Source organism: Homo sapiens, chromosome 16, assembly GCF_000001405.40.
Source record: "Homo sapiens chromosome 16, GRCh38.p14 Primary Assembly".
Taxonomy (NCBI): domain Eukaryota; kingdom Metazoa; phylum Chordata; class Mammalia; order Primates; family Hominidae; genus Homo; species Homo sapiens.
The window spans coordinates 51,976,579-51,996,063 of record NC_000016.10 but is presented as its reverse complement, the minus strand read 5'-3'; the positions used below and the strand labels follow the sequence as shown (position 1 = coordinate 51,996,063).

The 19,485-nt window shown below is 41.6% G+C and overlaps 1 long non-coding RNA gene across 1 annotated transcript; it reads left to right on the top strand.

Annotated features, from left to right (window-relative positions):
- Window positions 1-1,465: 1,465 nt before the first annotated feature.
- Window positions 1,466-10,665, top strand: LOC105371259 (uncharacterized). The gene is made up of 3 exons (XR_933563.3): window positions 1,466-1,566; window positions 8,890-8,950; window positions 9,813-10,665. It is a non-coding gene; the product is annotated as an uncharacterized LOC105371259 (long non-coding RNA).
- Window positions 10,666-19,485: the final 8,820 nt, after the last annotated feature.

Genomic DNA, 19,485 nt, shown 5'->3' with positions numbered 1-19,485 from the left:
ATAAAAATATATTTACATGCATATTTACACACACCCACACACATCTTAAATCACAAATTTAGAGTATTTTCTTTTTTTTTTTTTTTTTTTTTTTTTTTGAGACGGAGTCTCGCTCTGTCGCCCAGGCTGGTGTGAAGTGACATGATTTCAGTTCACTGCAAACTCTGCCCCCCAGGTTCAAGCAATTCTCTTGCCTCAGCCTCCCAAGTAGCTGGAATTACAGGCGTGTGCCACCACACCTGGCTAATTTTTGTATTTTTAGTAGAGACGGGGTTCCGCCATGTTGGCCAGGCTGGTCTCGAACTCCTGACCTCAGGTTATCCACCCGCCTCGGCCTCCCAAAGTGCTCAGATTACAGGCATGAGCCACCATGCCCGCAGGATTTACAATATTTTCAAGATGCCAAAGTGAGCAGCACCTCTGAGTAGATAGCAGAGGTTTCTGGGGATATAGTCTGTGCTGTCCCCTCTCTGCTCAGCTCCTTGAGAGACAAATTCTTAACCCAAAGGAATGGGACCCTAATGTTGCAATTTTTGACAGGATGGCACACCAGAAGACAGATTTTGGGTCTGGCACCTCCCTCTCCTTTTTAATTTCTGTGATCTTTTTATTCCTTAATAGATTGGTTTCCACATTTACGAAAAGGAAAAGGCAGGAGAAGAGGGGCATGGCTGGCCCTCTCTAAGATGGAGTGGCAAATCCACATGGCTTTGGAGCACAGTGGGCCAGGTGGGAACTGAGGCAAACTGAGGAGGCAGAAAATGCTTCAAGAGTTTCAAATTAGAAATGCACAACTGCCCGCTGCCCCAAATGGAATGAAAGTGAAGAATGAGCAAACCACCTCCAAAGGGCTGAATTTGTCTTACAGGTGCCAGTTCATAAGGTTTGATTGTGTTTTTTTGAGTGCCAAAAATTTAATGCTTGTATGTTTGTCTTTGGGTGTGAAGAGAACTAAGATAAACCAAATGAGTAAAATCTGAAAATTTTTACTGAGGATGGGAATAATTTGGGAACTTATTGGAAGTTGATAATAATAATAATGAAAATAATCATGTGGGTATAGAAGTAACTTTGCTCTCTTACTTCTCATCCCCTGTCCCGTTTTTGCCTCCGTTGGTTCTCCTACTTGTCCTCTCATTTTTGTGGGCAGGGCCTACAACTTGTGTTCAATGAGTCCCACATCCTGCAGAACCTTGGCAAAGGCCCAGAGACATGGCATGTGAATAACGCCATGGCTTTGTGCCAAGTGCAATTGAATTTGTCACCGAGGACCACGTGTTCTGAGGGTGCTCAGATATGTTCGGTAATGAGCTAATGCTCTTGGCATGCAGGTGTGCTGGGATCGTGTGTCTCCAGATACAGGTGTTGCTGGCCTAGTTAGTGATTTTTCTTATTTGTTTAATGTTAGCCACCTCTCCAAATAATGCCTGGGGCCAGGTATCCTGCTGGAGCCCCGGATGTAGGCAGCAGAAAATGCCATGGCCCAGGGCACAGTGGTGTCTGACTTTTACTCACCTGTGCTGCTTTCTCCTTCCAGATGTTCCCAGGATCATGTTAGAGACCAGGGTAAGACCTCAGCTTTCTATTATATTTTAAATCATGGAAACAGTAAATACATTGAGAATTCTGGCACCGGCTAAGCTTAAATTTTTAAACTCTGCCAAAAGAAGGCTTTGAATACCATTCTGTTTTCTTTCTCTTTCACTTCATCTGTTTTTCTTTTGTCTAATTGAGATCTCAGATACAGGGGGGCGTGGTACATGGGTTTTTAACTGGTGGTTACTGGATACTGTATAGGTATCCATGAATCTCCTGATATGGTAATTAACATTCTTTGTACATATATATTTTCTGGCAAGATATCCATTGCTTTTATTTGGTCTTCAAAGCATCTAGGATGTTTCCAGGAAGGTTAAATAAAATCATTAGAGAAAAATGAGACTCATACAAATCTGGGTTGCATTTTCTGCCCTGCCCTTTCCATATTTTGTAAACTTGGGAAAGTTGGTTAGTCTCCCAAGGGCTCTATATTCTTATATAAATGTGAAATGTTCCAGACTCAAGAGGATTATTAGGGGATTGTTATTAGGAAATTATTAAAGCAAATGCAGATAATAAGCCTTACACAGTACCCAGCAAATTGTAGATATTTAAGAAGTGCTCATTCTAATTAGGATACAGGCAGCTGGAGTCTTTCTTGTTCTTCAATTTTTTAAACACTGTCTCCTGTTTATAAAAACATAATAAACTGGCCGGGGGTGGTGGCTCACACCTGTAATCCCAGCACTTTGGGAGTCTGGGACAGGTGGATCACCTGAGGTCAGGAGTTTGAGACCTATCTGGCCAACATGGTGAAACCCCGTCTCTACTAAAAATACAAAAATTAGCTGGGCATGGTGGCAGGTGCCTGTAATCTTAGCTACTCAGGAGGCTGAGGCAGGAGAATCGCTTGAACCCAGGGGGTTGCAGTGAGCCAAGATTGCGCCACTGCACTCCAGCCTTGGCAACAAGAGTGAGACTCCTCTGTCTCAAAAAAAATAATAATAATTCTTTTATTTGGAATAATTTTAGATTTATATAAAAGTTGCTAAGAAAGTGCATAGATTCTCTGTGTAGTCTTCACTTAGCTTCCCCTGATCTCTGTTCCTCTGTCTTTCCTTACTGTACACAACAGTGACAGTGTTGAAAAGTGCTGGTCACTGATGACTGCTGTCTTTAATTCATGAAAGTGGTAGCTGAGTCACCTGTACTTTCCACTGACAGAACCTTTTTGGTCCTGGCCTGTCTTGGACTTTTGTCTTCTCTTGACAGTGTGGGTTACTATGCCGCTCCCATGCCATAATAACGTGAGGCCATCAAAGAGTGTATCTTCCTAGCCACACCTCTGGGTCATTTCAGAATGCTGCAGTGCCCCAGGTGTCCATCCTTGTATCTTTCCTCAATTTTTACTCACTCTGTAAGCCATTTCACCCTATTCTTGAAAACTCTGCTGTATACTGATGCCTTGCAAATTTTTATTTCTAGCCCCACCCACTCCCTAAGTTCTAGACTTATATGTCTAACTGCCTACTGACATCTCCAGTGAAATATTCAATAGGCTTTCTGAAATCAATGTGATCAAAACCTAACTCCTATGACCCTCTCAAACATGCTTCTCCCCAAATGTCACCCACCCCCCGGTATATGACACCACCATCCATCCCAAAACTTAAAATTCCTAAATGCCTTTTCTTTTTCTCACATATCACACCCAAATCCTCATAAATCCTATCATCCCTTCCTTTAGAACATACTTGGAATTCAACTACTCTTCATGACCTTCTCTGCTCTCACCCAAATGTGGCCACCATCATAATTCAGATGGATACCTATAGTGGTTTTCAAACTATCTCCTTGCTCCCAGGCCTTTCCTGTCCCCCATAACCCCTTTAAGCAAGTCAGGTCATATCGCTCCCTTGCTCAAAATTCTCCATCAGGTTTCCATCATACTTAAAATAAAGCCCAGCGTCCTCATGTGGCACACCTGATTTGGCCCTTGGAGCCTCTGCAACATCTTCTCCTTCTACTCTTCCTCTTGCTTTCTGCACTTGGAACACTCTAAGCATCTAGAATGTTTCCAGGAAGGTTAAATAAAATCATTAGAAAAAAATGAGAGTAATACAAAACTGGGTTGGACTTCTTACCGGTTCCTCATACACACTAAACACACTCCCTTCTCAGGGCCTATAAATGTGCAATTCCTTCTGCCTGGAAAGCTCTTCTGAAGGATATTCTTGTGGCTTGCTCTCTCATTTCATTTAGGAGTCTTAAAATACCATTTTCTCAGATAGATCGTCTTTGACCATACCAGCCCCCATCCCTTGCTATCTCCTGTCCACTTACCTTTACTAGACACTGTATTGTAACATTTTATTTGTGTATTTATGGTGTGTTTATTCATTGGAAGAGTGCTTCTCACTTGGGGTTCATTAATTCCATCCACCACCTTTAGCAGCCATTCAGCATATTGTAGACCTTTATGTTGGTGATAACTGAGCGATTGCTGCAAGTATCTAGTGAGTAGAGGCCAGGGATGCCTCTAAACACCCAACAATGCACAAAGCAGCCCCTACAACAAAGAACAATCCAGTTCAAGCTATCAACAGAGCCATGGTTGAGGAACACTGTAATGGAATATGAGCTCTCATAGGGTGAGAACTTTTAATATGAACTCTTACAGGGTGAGCCTGCATTGGAATGTGAGCTCTCATAGGGTGAAGACTTGGTCCTTCTTGTCTACTCCAGCACCTAGGACAATAGTTGGCACACAGCAGAGACTCAGTAGACATTTGTTGAATGAATGAATGAATGAATGAATGGCTATTCATTCTAAGGTTGACTGCCTTCCTGCTTCTAACCTGGAAGCTAGGCTCTTGTGCCTTCTGTCCTTGAATTCCCTACAGCTAGAAAGGATCTGAGAAGGGGTGGGAGGGGATGAGTTTAGAGCACAGGGCTGATCTTCGTCAGAGTCCATATTGCCTTCTCAAAACTTTCTTCATCTCCAACTCCCCACTCGGGCCAAAGCATCATTAGCTAATCTGCAGGCATGGCTAACAGAAAGAGGTGTTTAATTCTTCCCCATTTGTAGTCTAAAATCTTTCCATTCCATGCACAAACCCACTCTGATCACATAGGGTAGGACTTTTGAAACTTAAAAGCTAAGTATTGATTCAGGTTTTTATCTCTGTCATGCATTCTCTTCCTTGGAGCAATAAATGGCAGACCATCTTGGCTTCTCTGTGTTTTTCAGAAAAGGAGTCAGGAAAAGACCCTAAAATTATGCAAAAAAATCAAGGAATTCTTTAACCACTCTGACTTTAGCCATTCCTCATGACCTCAGGATCAGGCAAAAACTTGCAATGTTCTAGAAATAGTATACTATCATCTTAGAATGTTTTAGTTTTGCAGAACTCTATGTTTGTTTTATGTATATATGTCAATGTTAAAAGAATTATTTTAACAAATTGGCTCTTGTGATTCTGGGGGTCTGGCAATTCCAAAATGTGCTGAGCACAATACATAATTGCAAAGATGTGGAACTAACCTATGTGCCCATCAACTAAAGGGTGGATAAAGAAAATGTGGCACATATACACCATGGAATACTACTCAGCCATCAAAAGGAATGAAATAATGTCTTTTGCAGCAACTTGGATGAAGCCAGAGGCCATTATTCTAAGTGAAGTAACACAGGAGTGGAAAACCAAAAACTGAATGTTCTCAATTATAAGTGGGAGCTAAGCTATTACTATGAGTATGCAAAGGCATACAGAGTCATAAATGGACTTTAGAAACTCAGGAGATGGAGGGTAGGAGGGAGACTAGGGACACTAAACTACACATTGGGTGCAATGTGCACTACTCAGGTGATAGTTGCACTCAAATCTCAGAATTCACCAGTATATAATTTATCCACGTTACATAAAACCACTTGTACCCTAAAAGCTATTATAAAAAAGAAATCTACTGAGCGAGCTGGCAGGCTGGAAACTCAAGCAAGAATTAAAGCCAGAGTCTTGAGGCACAACTTCGTTTTTGGAAAACCTCAGTTTTTGCTCTTTAGGCCACCAACCGATTGGGTGATGCTGACCCACATTATGGAAGGTCATCTCCATTATTTAGAGTCAGCTAGTTGGAGATGTTAACCACATCTACACAACACCTTCACGGGAACACCCAGATTATTGTTTGGTTAAATACTTAGGTCCTATAGCCTAGCTACGTTGGCACATAAAACTAACCGTCGCATTTGGGAACTGGGAGATTCAGAGTCTAAACTGTGCTCACTGCCTATCTCTTTGTTCGAGGCTAGTAGCATCACCTTTCAATAGAAGGGCCAGCAAAACATGTGTGCCTAGAGGTTCTTTTGCTATATACACGATAAAGCTGCCAGGTAACCTAAGTTAGCAGAAGGACCTAAGCCAGTCCACGGATGCCTTAGGGGAGGAATGAAGCAGGTCCCAGCATGACTTTGGAGTTTGGAGTTTTTGTAACCCAGAAAGCACCTTGCCATTTGCCTCCCATAAAGGAATGACTAGGCCCAAGTCTGCACAAACCAATTTCAGCCTGACCCTGATTAAAATTTCCTTCTAGCAAATCTGAGAAACAGCTGTTTCTCCGCACGATACCCCCAGCACACCCCAGCCACCCTGTCATCCCCGGAGGCTATTCCTCAGAAGCCAGCTGTTGTGAGTGAGAAGATGAAAGGTGTCAGTCCCACTTGTAGTGCTTGTAACTTAGGGGAGGCAACAAGATTCTTCCTTTGTTTTATCCTTTCAAGTTTAACAGTTAGTCATTATGACTGGGGGAAAGAGTTATCATTTCCAGTTTCTGCTGGATGCAGTGAAGCAATTCATCAATCTCCTTAGAAAAAAATATGTGCTCCAACCAGGGTTGGTTTTCTTTGTACCACATTGTTTTTTGTTGTAGCAAGAAAGCACAGTCATTTAACAGGTTAAGTTCTGGAAGGGCAGGAGTTTCAGTTTCATTGAGTCTCCAATTTAAAGATGGTGGAGTTGAATAAAAAGAAGAAAATATTTCTGTTGTTTTAGTTACAGAAGAAAAGGTGGCTTGGATTTGTAAATGAAAGTTCTAGAGGCTTTCATTACCTTTGTTTCAGACCTTCCTCTCTCATTCAGAACATCTTCTTTTCCTTTTCTTCTGGGGGTAGGTGGGGAGGAAGTCTTGCTCTGTTGCCCAGGCTGGAGTGAACTAGCACCATCATAAGTCACTGCAACCTTGAGCTCCTGAGCTCAAGAGATCCTCCTGCTTCAGTTTCCCAAGTAGCTGGGATCACAAGTACACCACAATGCCTGTTTATTATTATTATTGTTGTTGTTGTTGTTGTTGTTGTTGTTGTTGTAGAGATGAGATTTTGCCATGTTGTCCAGGCTGGTATAAAACTCCTGGACTTTAGTGATCCTTATTCCTCAGCCTCTTGAGTAAGGGTGTCTTTGTTTAGTTCATCCAGGTGGGTTCAATATAAGGAGAAGCCTCCAAAACTTGTATTTTATGCCATGATTTATATCAATCTAAATTCTAAATGCATTTTCTTCCTTCATAGTGATTAATACATGTGGATTGATGTACCATTTATTAGCCACCAATTATCTCATTTTGAGAAAATGAGAGCTAGGAAATTTGACTGTCTTGGCCAGCTTTACCAACCAGTAGATGGTGGAGACAGATTCAAACCCCACAGCACAGCAATCCACATGGCTTCCAAAGTCCAAACTTAAGCACAATCTTGGGAAGACATTCTCAGGAATGCATCGTTTGTAAAAAGGCAGAAATTTTAAGAACTAAAGATTCAAATAGATTTAAAATGATAGCAAACACATATGTGTGTGTGTATATATATAGAGAGAGAGACAGAGAGAGAGAGAAGAAAACTTGTGAACTGATTAACTAATTTATACTAGAGTGTAAATGATTTGGTGTACTTTTGCTCCCAGAGAAAAGTTTCTTTAAAAACATTTGTTTAAATATGACTGGAAGGGCAGTATTTAGCCTGAGGAGATGCATGGCAAATGCTATAATTTATATATAACACGTACCTTACAATATAATACAGTGGCAGGTTCTTGAGAAGGACAATTTATCTCACACAAAAGGTATTACTTTTCCCATATTAAAGTCTTCAAATCACATAAAGGTTATATTTTAATATACATATTTGACAGCAAATTCTTTCAAGTTTTTATATCATGACAAATTTGGAAATACTATATTGATTCATTTATTTAATAAGCACATTTTGAGACTTATTATTGAATCAGACAATATCCTAGAAACTGAGAGAATGAAAAATCACTAAACCAAGCATTGCTTCCAAAAGAATATAGCATGGAAGAGCCTAGAGAAATTTCAGAGTTATTGGAATCCAGAGATGGGACACACTTCTTCGGACTCTGGTCTGAGGCTGTCATAGGGAAGAGAACACCTGAGTTTGGCTTGAAATATGAAGTCTACCATGTGGAGGGAGGGAGAGAAGGGCGCTCTAGGAATGGCCTGTGGGGAGGGACATTGATTAGAAAATTTCATGCTGCAGGAGATTGCCAAAACAATATGTTGCATGTTCAGCAATCTTACTGAGCACCTACTTTATACCTTGCATAGTGTTAGGCTCTAGGAATACAAAGGTCCTTCAAAGCCTCTAGGAATATAGAGACCCTACCACATGAAGACAGAATCAAGGAATGCTGGGACTTTGAGAGATCTCAGCAATGATTGGGTCCAATACTTTGCCAAGTCCTAGAAGTTATAAGGAGATGCTTCCCAGGCCCCTAATGAGACAAGAGGACACCGGACATGAGAGTGTATCAGTCAGCTTAAGCCAAGTTATACTGCAGTAACAAATGGCACCAAATCTTAATGACCTGCAAAATTAAAGATGCATTTTTCATTCATATGACATGACTATCATAAAGCAGCTCTGATTTTGTTTCCTATCTTCTTCATTCTAATTCTACTGAAAAAGAAGCTCTTTTCTGTGACATACTGGTCCCCCTTCAGAAGGAAAATAGAAGAGTGGTGGACCATGGCTTTCAAAGCTTCTGTTTAACAATAGCACCCATCACTTCTAGCTACATTCACTGGGCAAGAGTGAGTCACATGGCCAAGCCTGATGTCAGTGCAACAAAGAGACATCTTCTTTCTCCATGACCAAAAAATATTTTGAGCAGTGATGCAACTTTCATTATGGAGTTTAGGAATTCCTTATTCTGTCTTCATCTTGTACAGCTACATGATGAACCGTTTTATATATTGGATTCATGTGCAACGTTTTCTGGAAGGATAGGTGGCAAAGAATGCTAGACATCCACTAAAATCTGTTCTTCCCTTCCACAGTGTAGTCATGTCACACCCTGCACCTGGGTGTGGCTGTGTGTCCAGTTCTCACCAACTGAATGTAAGTAAAAATGATTTGTATAGATCTTGGGCCATGATTTTCAAGAAGCAGGTGTTCATTTCCTCTACCATACCTCTTCTGTGAGAGCAGCAAGAGGTAGACGATGGCAAGGCCATGGGAGCCAACATAATCACAGGAGAGTAGATCTTGGAATCACAGGGTGGAGGAAAGCTCCAGCTGTCACACCCTGGACTGTTCTGTGACGGAGAGTGAAACTTCTGTTCATTTGTTTATTTTTTAAGCCACATGCATTTTAAAGTCTATTTATGATAGCTGTTTACACTCTAGATGTGCATATAAAAATAAATTTGGTCATCTAATCTCTCCTTGTTTGGAGAAGTTAAGGAGATGATCAGGGAGGAGTACAAGTTGTCCACATTTTTACAGAGGAGAATGCCCACCCCAGCCTCTGGATTCACAGGCCAAGACTTCTGCTACTACATCTGGTTGATACCCCAAGAGCTGAACAATATGATGAAAATTCAGGATCTAAATTGCTGATTCATACCCTGAATCTGGACCAAAAATGTATCCCCTGTTTCCTGCACAGGGTTTTAAAAGAGTATGTATGAATTGTGCATGTAAATATATTAGGCTATTTCACAAGAATAGTTAGGTTCCAGCTTCTTTTGAAAAAAACAGCAGGCAACACTGAGTCCATATTCCCATGAGGGGATGATTAGCTCTAGCTCCTCCTTATTTAGATGAGACCTATGCTGTTCAGTTCACCAGGGTCTTCTCTTCACCCTGGTGGTTTTCTGCCATCGAGGCATAGAATTAGTTGTCATTTGTAATTCTTTCATGGCCCAATAGTAAAGAGGAATATAAATTTTTCTTTTTCCCTTGTCCCTATAACATACAGAATAATGAACCAACAAGAGCGAAGAACAAGTCAAAGAAAATGGCAAAGAAGATATTTCTTTGGGAAAGTGAAGAATCATCCCTCAGCCATCCCACTTCTCTTATTTATGTCACCTGTCTAAGCCTCCAAAAGTATGTGCATTTTGGACTCCTGGCCTAAGGATTCATGTGGATAAATGACTAACAAATGGGCGGAGGTCCCCATAAAAGCACTTTTCTTTTCTGGAGGCTATTCCTGATTGGAGTCAGGAGTTCTATCCTGAGTTAGAGGTGCCTTACTCAGACTCTTGCTTGCGTGAGTGTGGTATGATCCATTCCTTCAGGTTGGCCTCTCGGATGGGTGCCTACTGTGGCCATGCCACCATGCCAGAGGACTGGGTGGGCATGGGCATGAGGGTGCAACAGTGACTGAGGTCTCTACTCTCCAGAGGCAAAAAATAAACCTCAAGGAAGGCTTGAGCCACCAGGGGTCTGACTAAATAGTGATCCTATCAGCCTTATTTTTTTAATTTTTAGTTGACATGTAGTAATTGTACATATTTATGGGATACAGAATAGTATTTCAACACATGTAAACAATGTGTAGTATTCAAATCAGGGTAATTAGTGTATTTCTCACCTGAAACATTTATTATTTTTTTCTGTTCAGTACCTTCAAAATCCTTCCTTCTGGCTACTGGAAAACATAAAGTAAATTGTTAACTATAGTCATCCTACAATGCTATAGAACATTATAACTTATTCCTCCTGCCTTGCTGTCATTTTTTATCAGTTAACCAACATCTACTGTCTCCCCGCCTCCTTTCCCCATGCTCCTGTGACCACTATTCTACTCTCTGCTTCTATGAGATCAACTTTTTTAGCTCCCACATATGGGTGAGAACAGGCAGTGTTTGTCTTTCTGTGCCTGGTTTATTTTACTTACCATAATGCCCTCCAGCCTCATCCATATTGCTGAGAATGACAGGATTTCATTCTTTTTATGGCTGCATAACATTCAACAGTGCATATGCCACATTTTCTTCATTCATTCATCTGTTGATGGGCACTTAAGTTGATTCCATATCTTGGCTATCGTGAATAGTTCTGCAATAAACATGAAAGTGTAGATATCTCTTTGATACACTGATTTCAGTTCTTTTGGATCTAAACCCAGAAGTGGGATGGCTGGACTATAGGGCAGTTCTCTTTTTAGTTTTTTGAGGAAACTCCACGCTGTTTTACACAATTTATCAGCCTTATTTTCGCCTCCTCATCACACATGGCAGATAATTTGTCACGAGGGATGTCCCTCCCAAAGCCTGCCCAGAGTGGATGTGTCCTGAAATAATATTTTGAAATATGAGCTGGTATTTTTCTCTGTACTTTCTGTGAGACCCTGTGTACTCTATCTGCTAAGAACTCCACTTTCATGGATCACAAGAAGGCTAACACACAATAATAAAATGTTTTTGCTTTTCCTCTTTGTAAGAATAGATAAGTTCCAGGAGAGATTCCATGCTCCAAGACTAGAAATGAACCTGCTTGGACGTTTATGCAAACCTCTGCTCAAATGTCCCTTCCTTGGAAAGGCTTTTTCTCACCCACTCAGCTTGAAGTCAGATCCTTCCTCACCACCCCTCATCACTTTCTTCCCACTCTTTCTTGAGGTCATTGTGTGTACATTTTGCTTGTTTAATGGTATGCTCATCACTAAGTTGTGAGCCCCTTTGGGGCTGGTACCTGGTCAGTCTACTCATGGGGTTATCTTCAGTGCAAAGGGAAGAAGCTCAACAAATATTGACCGAATTAATGAATGAGGTGTGTTTGATGCTGGTGGGTCTTTGAGGAATGGCCTTGCCTTTTGCCACATAAATGCAGTTTTTAGGTGGGTGGGGTGTATGGTGGGTGTGCTGGCAATGGAAACCTCACATCAGTGAGGAGATCCAAGAGCAAAAATATCATGCTTCTTCTCAAGTAGAGACTGGGGGTGGGGACAAAACTTCCAGGGTGTACACAACCACGTGCCATGCCTGGGTCAACAGGGCAGCTCATGGTGGGGAAGCAGTGGAAGTTTCCTAGGCACTGGGGGCATGCTGGGTTTAATTCAGGAGCTGATGGGGTTGGCAGGCCTCAAGACTGTTGACGGAGCGCCTGACAGGGATGAGGAAATCTCACGGGTGCCACCTTGAAGAAATGATGACACTGGGGACTAGGGCTGCACCTGTCTCTCTGGTGCTTTCCTACTACATTGGTCCCTCTACTCAAATCCAGATAAAGTGGGAAGACAGACCAACACTGAATCAACTGAAAGTAAGCTTCCATCACTCAGTGAGATGGGAGTCTAAATAGAAACTGAGTTTTTAAAGAAAGTTACATTTCTCACACATCAGTATTTATGAATCGAAATTTCTATTTCTCACATGAACAGTTCCTCGTGGCTGTATTTGCACCACTTGCAAACCACTCATGGATTCCAAGAGTGATGCAGTTATGGGAATAAACTGGAATCCACTCTAATTTATTCCTAAAAGTAATTGTTCCATAAGGTTCCATAATTCAGTTCTTATTTGTCAGGTTACTTGTTAATGTCCATTGCAACATTATGAAAATGTGTTTCACACATGCTGCGAACATAGAAGTAAAAAATAAATTTTGAAGGCACCTGTTGTAATGTTGTAACAGGGAAATACCTGAACTATGAATCACAGGACACGGGTTCTGGTGACAGCTATGCCACCTATTAGTTGTGGGTGCTAGGCAAGTCCCTTCCCCTCTTTGGGCGTCTGTCTTCTCATCAGATGACGGAAGGAAATGAAATGACTCATCAATTGCACGTCATTGTGATAACTGCATACCTGCTGTACTGTTATATATGTAGTGATTTTTCTTTAATTCAACTAAGAATTTGAATATTTCAGTTATGTTGCTTGAAATCATCCAGCAGTAGGATGACTGAACTTTAAATGTCCCTTCTCCCCCTGACACTCTGGCCTGTGCACTGTGATTCTAGAATTGAGAGACTGAGCCATTCCCAAACATCCCGTGAGCAGACAGTCTATTGAGCCCATCACATGAACATAGGGGTTGCCCCCCGTCTTTTTTTTCCAAGGCATGGCTGTAGCTGCAGGTGATTCTTAGATAAATAACTAGAAAATATTTGACAGCCTCACCTCCGTTAAATGTTCTTCCAAGGGATTTCAATTGAGTCTCCAGTTTTCAGGTCATTTAAAGTTTGCTACTTCTAAAGTGCCTCTTACCATCAAGGTGTGATGCAAAGAGTTTTCCATTCGATGCTTCCATTGAAATAAATAAATTGAAATGAAGGCGAGGATTTGTCAGGTTTCCACTAGAGGGCAGCAGAGTAGTGAGAATCAGGGTTCTCAGAGGCTTTGTAGTAGAAGTGTTGACATGTGACTTGGCAATTGAATAATTTTTGATACTGTCCTGACACATAAACACCTAGAAGCAGGTTTTCAAAGGTTATTTGCACACTAAAAGAGGAATTAAGGAAACGAACTTGCATGCCAAAAGTAATTTTCAATATTCTACAAAGAACCGTAGCTTCATTATAAGATTGTTTTTAGAGAATATTCAGCTATCGTTAACTGGATATGTTAAACTTAACTGGCAAACACGCATTCAAAATAAATTAGGCTGAGTGGACCTAAGAAAGTAGATCCAGTGACTAATAAAAAATTTCTGCTGGGATTTGGAGTCTGGCCAACTCACCCAAAAGGAGAAATTGGGCTTTAAGTGATTTTTCTAGATCTTCCAGCCCTGGGGGCTCCTAGGCTTGTGATATTAGCATGGTTAAACAGTTGTGCACATACTGCACGGTTTTGTGTGTGTGTGTGTGTGTGTGTGTGTGTGTGTTATTGTGGTCATTTATTTTTAAGGTATTACTCTACCTTCAGCATAAAAAGTCAGCAAATTATCAGAGTTTATTCCATTGACATTCTCACATCTTGAGAAATAGCCCATTTGTATTATCACAGTTTGATATATTTCCCATTTACTGAGCTTCCTTGGCAAGTTGGCATTTTAATTTAATTATACTTTTTGCTAATGGTCTTTATTTTTCAGTGTCTGTGTGTAAAACGCCCGTAGGTTTGATTATCTGCCCCCCTCCTCTTCCCAGTGCCGAGCTATAGTGCAAATTTATAAACTGACAAAATTCAGTGTAAAATTCAGGAAGGTGAAATTAAGGAATTTGTAAAGAAATCCTGCTTAAATGCTGAAGCCTTTTCCTCACTTGCAGAAGACGGCTCCCTCTTGCATAAGTTTAGTACCTGGCCTTGGTGTCTCCAATAGGAACCCAGAACAGAGGCATGTGGCCTGTGTCCTTGTCCCTCTCTGTGCTGGCTCAGACTCTGTCCCCCTCTGTGCCAGATAAGAGAGAGTTTCTGTGCCAGATCAGAGAGGTTGTCCCTCTGAGCTGACAGAGAGAGGGACAAGGCACAGAGAGGAACGTGGACCTCTAAGAGTTTGAACTCTTCTGAGGGTATCCTCTGAGCACCAAGGGATATAGCAACAATGATAATCGCAGGGTTTTCTTGGCTTATTGATGATGCTGGGAGCTTATGGAGGCTTCTCCCTTTAGAATAGAAACTGATCGTGTAGGGCTGTAGCTTTCCTTGAAGACTGTAGGCTGGCTAGTGGAGTCTGGACCATGGGCCCTACCAGGACCCTAGGGCTGTGTTGGTGTGCATTTAGTAGTAAAAAGGAGCTAATGAGTGGAAATACCCAGACAAGCAAGTACACACATCCATGCTCATATTTCCCACAAGTGTGCACACTCTGTTTCCTTGATCCTAAGATGCTGCTGACTGTAACACACACCATTGATCCAATAATAGCCCTCCAAGGGGAAAAAAAAAGAAGAAGAAGAAGAAGAAGAAAGAATCACTGCCAGATTAAACTTACACATCAATTGTAGGGTACATCCCAGTTTCAGAAATGCCAAAAAGTGGAAAACAAAGGCTGATTTCAAAATCTTGGAAATTTAGCATATCTAATTTTGATAGATGTATTTAAGGTAAAGCTGCCTCCCAAAATTTGTCCTGAAGAAAAATTCAGGATTTGAAACCTATGCAACCACAGTCAAGTTGCTAATCATGATCCATAAATGGGCTAGCAAAGTGTGAGAATAGTCTTTGTCTGTGGAAGTGCTCTGCAACTGTAAAGTTCTGGGCAAATGTTGGCTTTTGGTATTTTATTTCACTGGGTCTGTGTTATCTATTTGTTTTTGTTTTACTCATTTTTTTTACACAGGACCCCTCTCCCCAGGACCCAACCTGTCCTTATGACCCCCTTAACCCTTCATCTGTCTCATCAGCTTGGATGATTTGCCTTATAGAAGTGTGTGGATGACAAGCAATTCATTTAATCAATTTAGTAAAGCCTAGGACCATTTATTTGCCTGTGCTTGTAAAGGTATCCCTCCACTCCCGCTGAGAATGCCGAGAGAAACAGAAGAGTTATAATGGTGAAGGGTTTTCTATTAAAGTAGGGGGAAGTTGTACAAGAGAGGGGGCAGGGACAAAAATAAGTGTATCAGGCACGGTCTTGGTGACACTAGTCAAGAGCCTCAGGAACCTACCCATTGCACACCTCGGACAGAGTGACGCAGGTCCCAGCCACGGCAGAGATGCTGCTGGCTGCAGTACTCACAGGAAGGCAAGAAAGGGACAAACAATTGAAGAACAGGGCGTGTTAATTACCTTACTCAAGGGATCTTATGAAACATGGCGTACATGTAAATTGACACAATGAATATGATTACTGCAGGATTTCATTTTCATGCGGAGGAGTAAAGGGAAAGAGACAGGCTTATATGCCACTCTCTATGATGTTTCTTCTCTCTTCTGCAAACAGAAGTCCTACTCTTATCTATCAGCCTCCTCACTGTCCAGCCTTCTTGGTGATTACGCTGTGTCTCTCCTTTGCCTCTCCATTTGCTCCTCAGTTACTTGCTTGATTGAATGAAATTCTTTTGCACTATGGGAGGCAGGATATAGTCAGAGAGGTAATGGGAACCAGATCATGGAGAGTTGGAAGGACTTTGCATCTCTCTGGTATTATTGATGATGACTCCTTGGTATAAGAACAGACAGTGTAGGTGGGGTGCCACAGGGAAGTAGAGAGACCATTTAGCCGAGGTGAGATGGATGCGATGGGGGGAGAGGAGGAGGGAAAGGAGGAGTTTGACACCAAAGAGGGGAGGGGGAGGGAAGAAGTTGTCAGATTGTGATATATTTTTAAAATATGGAATTGGATGCAGCTATGACGAAAACATAAGAGGAAAGGAAGATGACACCCAAGTTTTGGCTGGAGCAATCAGAAGAATGATGTTGTCATTTTTTGATATGGAGAAAATATTTGCTTTAAAAATGTGAAATGTTAAATTTGTACTTGTCGAAAGAGGAAACAAGTAATGTTGGGGACAAAGTGCGGTTGCATGACAGAGACCAGAATTCAAGAGATGACGTAGGAGAGAGAAACAACAAGAGAAAACAAACATTGGAAGAGATTCAACCCCTTGACAAACACTTGGCTGTGCAGCTGGCTGGATCAGAGTCAACCTGGAAGGACGTTTGCCTTGAATTACTATCAAATCACTTGTGTGTGTGTGTGTGTGTGTGTGTGTGTGTGTGTGTGTGTGTGTGTGTTGCTTGTCTTCTCTTCATTTGTGGAATCATAAGTTCTTGGGCAATAGGGTTCTAAGTCTCTGGTACATAGTAATCCTTAAGTTGACCCTTCCTAATTGGCTGTCTGGGGCAGCTACAATAGCCTGAACCTAACTTATCTCCTTGTACTAACTTCCCAAATCTAATAAAAAAGATGGCCCAGCGTGGGAGGAAGCCTCTTGTATTGTCTGGTGGCTTTCTTCTCTCAGAACAGCATGTTTCTCCTATTCCCACGTTCAGAAGATAGACACTGCATGAAATACCATGGTGTGCTCACCTTCTTGGTCTAGTCTAGGGGTCCAAGACAGGGAAGAGTCCTGGGATAGTTTTCCTAGTAAAGAGTTCAGCCTTGAGTTGCTAGAATTTTAAAGAAAAGAAGCAACAAGTTGCAATTCAGGGCAGTCAGTCCTTTTAAGTTTTGCATTTATGGGACCCCATATTCAGCCACTAATGGCTGGCAGATGAGATGGTTAGAAAGCTGGTGATGTGGGAGACACTTGAATATTCTGCAAACCAAAGATAAGTCCATGTTGCCTCTCTTGTTCACTTTCATTGGGAAGGTGATGTGGCTGCTGAATGGTTAGGAGTCAGAACTGGTGGTATCTACTAAGAAAAAGGAAGATTCATGGTTCTTCTTAGGATAAGCATGCATTGTTCAATCATTATTTAGTAGATGTATCATTGATCCTAAGCGCCCTTTTCTTCCTTTAAGGGACTGAGTGGAGAAAACAATCTTCTTGTTTGTTGGGGTCTACTCCTTATCACTGATGGTCAGGGTTGGGTCATTTTCACCCATCATTTGTCGTAAGTGGTGTTGGGTGCATGAGAAGAGCAGCCTCGCCAGCTGATGGAGGAAGCACCCTCAGGGTTCTTGTTGGCTGAAGGAATTGGGAACAGCCCTCCTGGGAAGATGGGAAATGTCTGCCCACAGGTTTCAAAACTGCAGGTACAGTGCCTCGATTGGGCTCAGGTCAACCACGTGTGGGTTGCTGCAGTCCCTGGGCCGTTGCCTCTGTGACATCTTCATGTGCTCATTTACAGTGGGTCTTGGAAAAAAGGTTGGAAAATACTGAAGAAAAAGGTTGGAAAATACTGAAGAAAAAGGTTGGAAATCCTGGGGAACCATGGAAGCCACGAGATGTTTTTGCTTTCCAGTGAAATAGTTTTCCCCCTTCAGAAAGGGACATCTGGTGGTAATAGATGTGGAAAAAGACACATGGAGCATGGGGGGATATCACCCATTTCATTGCCAGGAAAGAGATGTTTACTACAGTGTTAGCTCTTTTCTTTCTTTGTTATATAGGGTAATAGTGTGAGTTGGGCTTAAATCTCAGCTCTCCCACTTAACAGTCGTGTGACTGTGAAGAGTCACTTGAACTCGTGACTCAGTTTCTTCATGTATGTAATGAGTATAAACAGAATGCCTATTTCTTAGTATGACAGTGAGAATTAGAAAACGTAATACATTTACAACAGGCAGAACAGTGCTTGGCACTAGAAAGCATTCAGCAAGTGTTGTTGTTCTGTTGTATTGTGCCATTGTAGTTGTGATGTTGTCATGCTGTTGTGCTGTTGTAGTTGTATTGTTGTTGTTGTTATGCTGCTATAGTTGTGTTGTTGTCGTGTAGTAGTTTTGTTGTGCTGTTGTAGTTGTGCTGTTGTAGTTGTGTTGTTGTGCTGTTGTATTGTGTTGTGCTGTTGTAGTTGTATTGTTGTTGTTATGCTGCTATAGTTGTGTTGTTGTCGTGTAGTAGTTTTGTTGTGCTGTTGTAGTTGTGCTGTTGTAGTTGTGTTGTTGTGCTATTGTATTGTGTTGTGCTGTTGTAGTTGTGTTGTTGTGCTATTGTATTGTGTTGCGCTGTTGTAGTTGTGTTGTGCTATTGTATTGTGTTGTGCTGTTGTAGTTGTGTTGTGTTGTAGTAGTTTCATTGTTGTGCTGTTGTAGTTGTGTTGTTGTTGTTTGCTGTTGTAGTTGTGTTGTTGTTATTGCCAAAACCATTTATCTTCATGGAGTCATCTGAGTTCTCCACAAGCAAAGATGGATGGAGAAGTAAAAGAAAAGCCATGGGTGCCATAGCTGAGAGGAAGAGCAAGAATGAACAGAATGGTGATGGGAAGAAGACACTGGAGCCCTTCCCAGCAGAATCCAATGGGGAAGAAGAGACAAGGGTCTTGAATTACTTTCCATCCCATTTGTACAGAGTCAGAACTGGTGAGTGACAGAGCTTGGATCTTGAGTACCTGATGCCCTCAATTATTGTCCCTTCTACTGGCCCAGAAGGCTGGCATATGGTTTTTGCCATTTGAGCCCCCATAGAGGGAGGTCCAAGCAGCCAGACTCTTTTGCTGTGGGAGAAATCTGCTTCTGCAATTGTGATGCGTGAGCACCAACTGACAAGTTTTTCTGGAACAGAGATAAGGGATGAAGCAGAAGAGACAGAAAGTTTGTTTTCTGTGCACCGTCTGTCTCCCTACCTTGGTACCTATATAGTATTCAACACATAACTATTTATTTACAGTTGTCTGTATTTACTGAAACTAGAGGTAATTGAGTTAAAGAGTTCATTAGGGTGGTTCTTAATTCAATACGATTGGTGTTCTTATTAAAAGTGGAAACTTGGACACAAAGACAGACATTCCTAAAGGGAAGATGATGGAAAGAGACACAGAGAAAAGATGGCCATCTACAAGCCAAGTAGAGTGGCCTAGAACAGATCCTTCCTTCACAGCCCTCAGAAGGAACTAACCCTGCCAACATCTTGAATTTTGAACTTCTAGCCTCTGAAACTGTGAGACAATACATTTGTGTTGTTTAAGCCACCCAGTTTGTGGTACTTCATTATGGCAGCTCTAGCAAACTAATATAATTACCTATGGCATTTATGACATCTCAGGTCATTCCATTGGTGCCTTCCAATATACCCACTGGTTGCTTAATAGGATCTTTGGAGATGTAGGTAACAGAATCTTTACTATCAAGGTTACCTCTAAAGGCAAATGAAATAG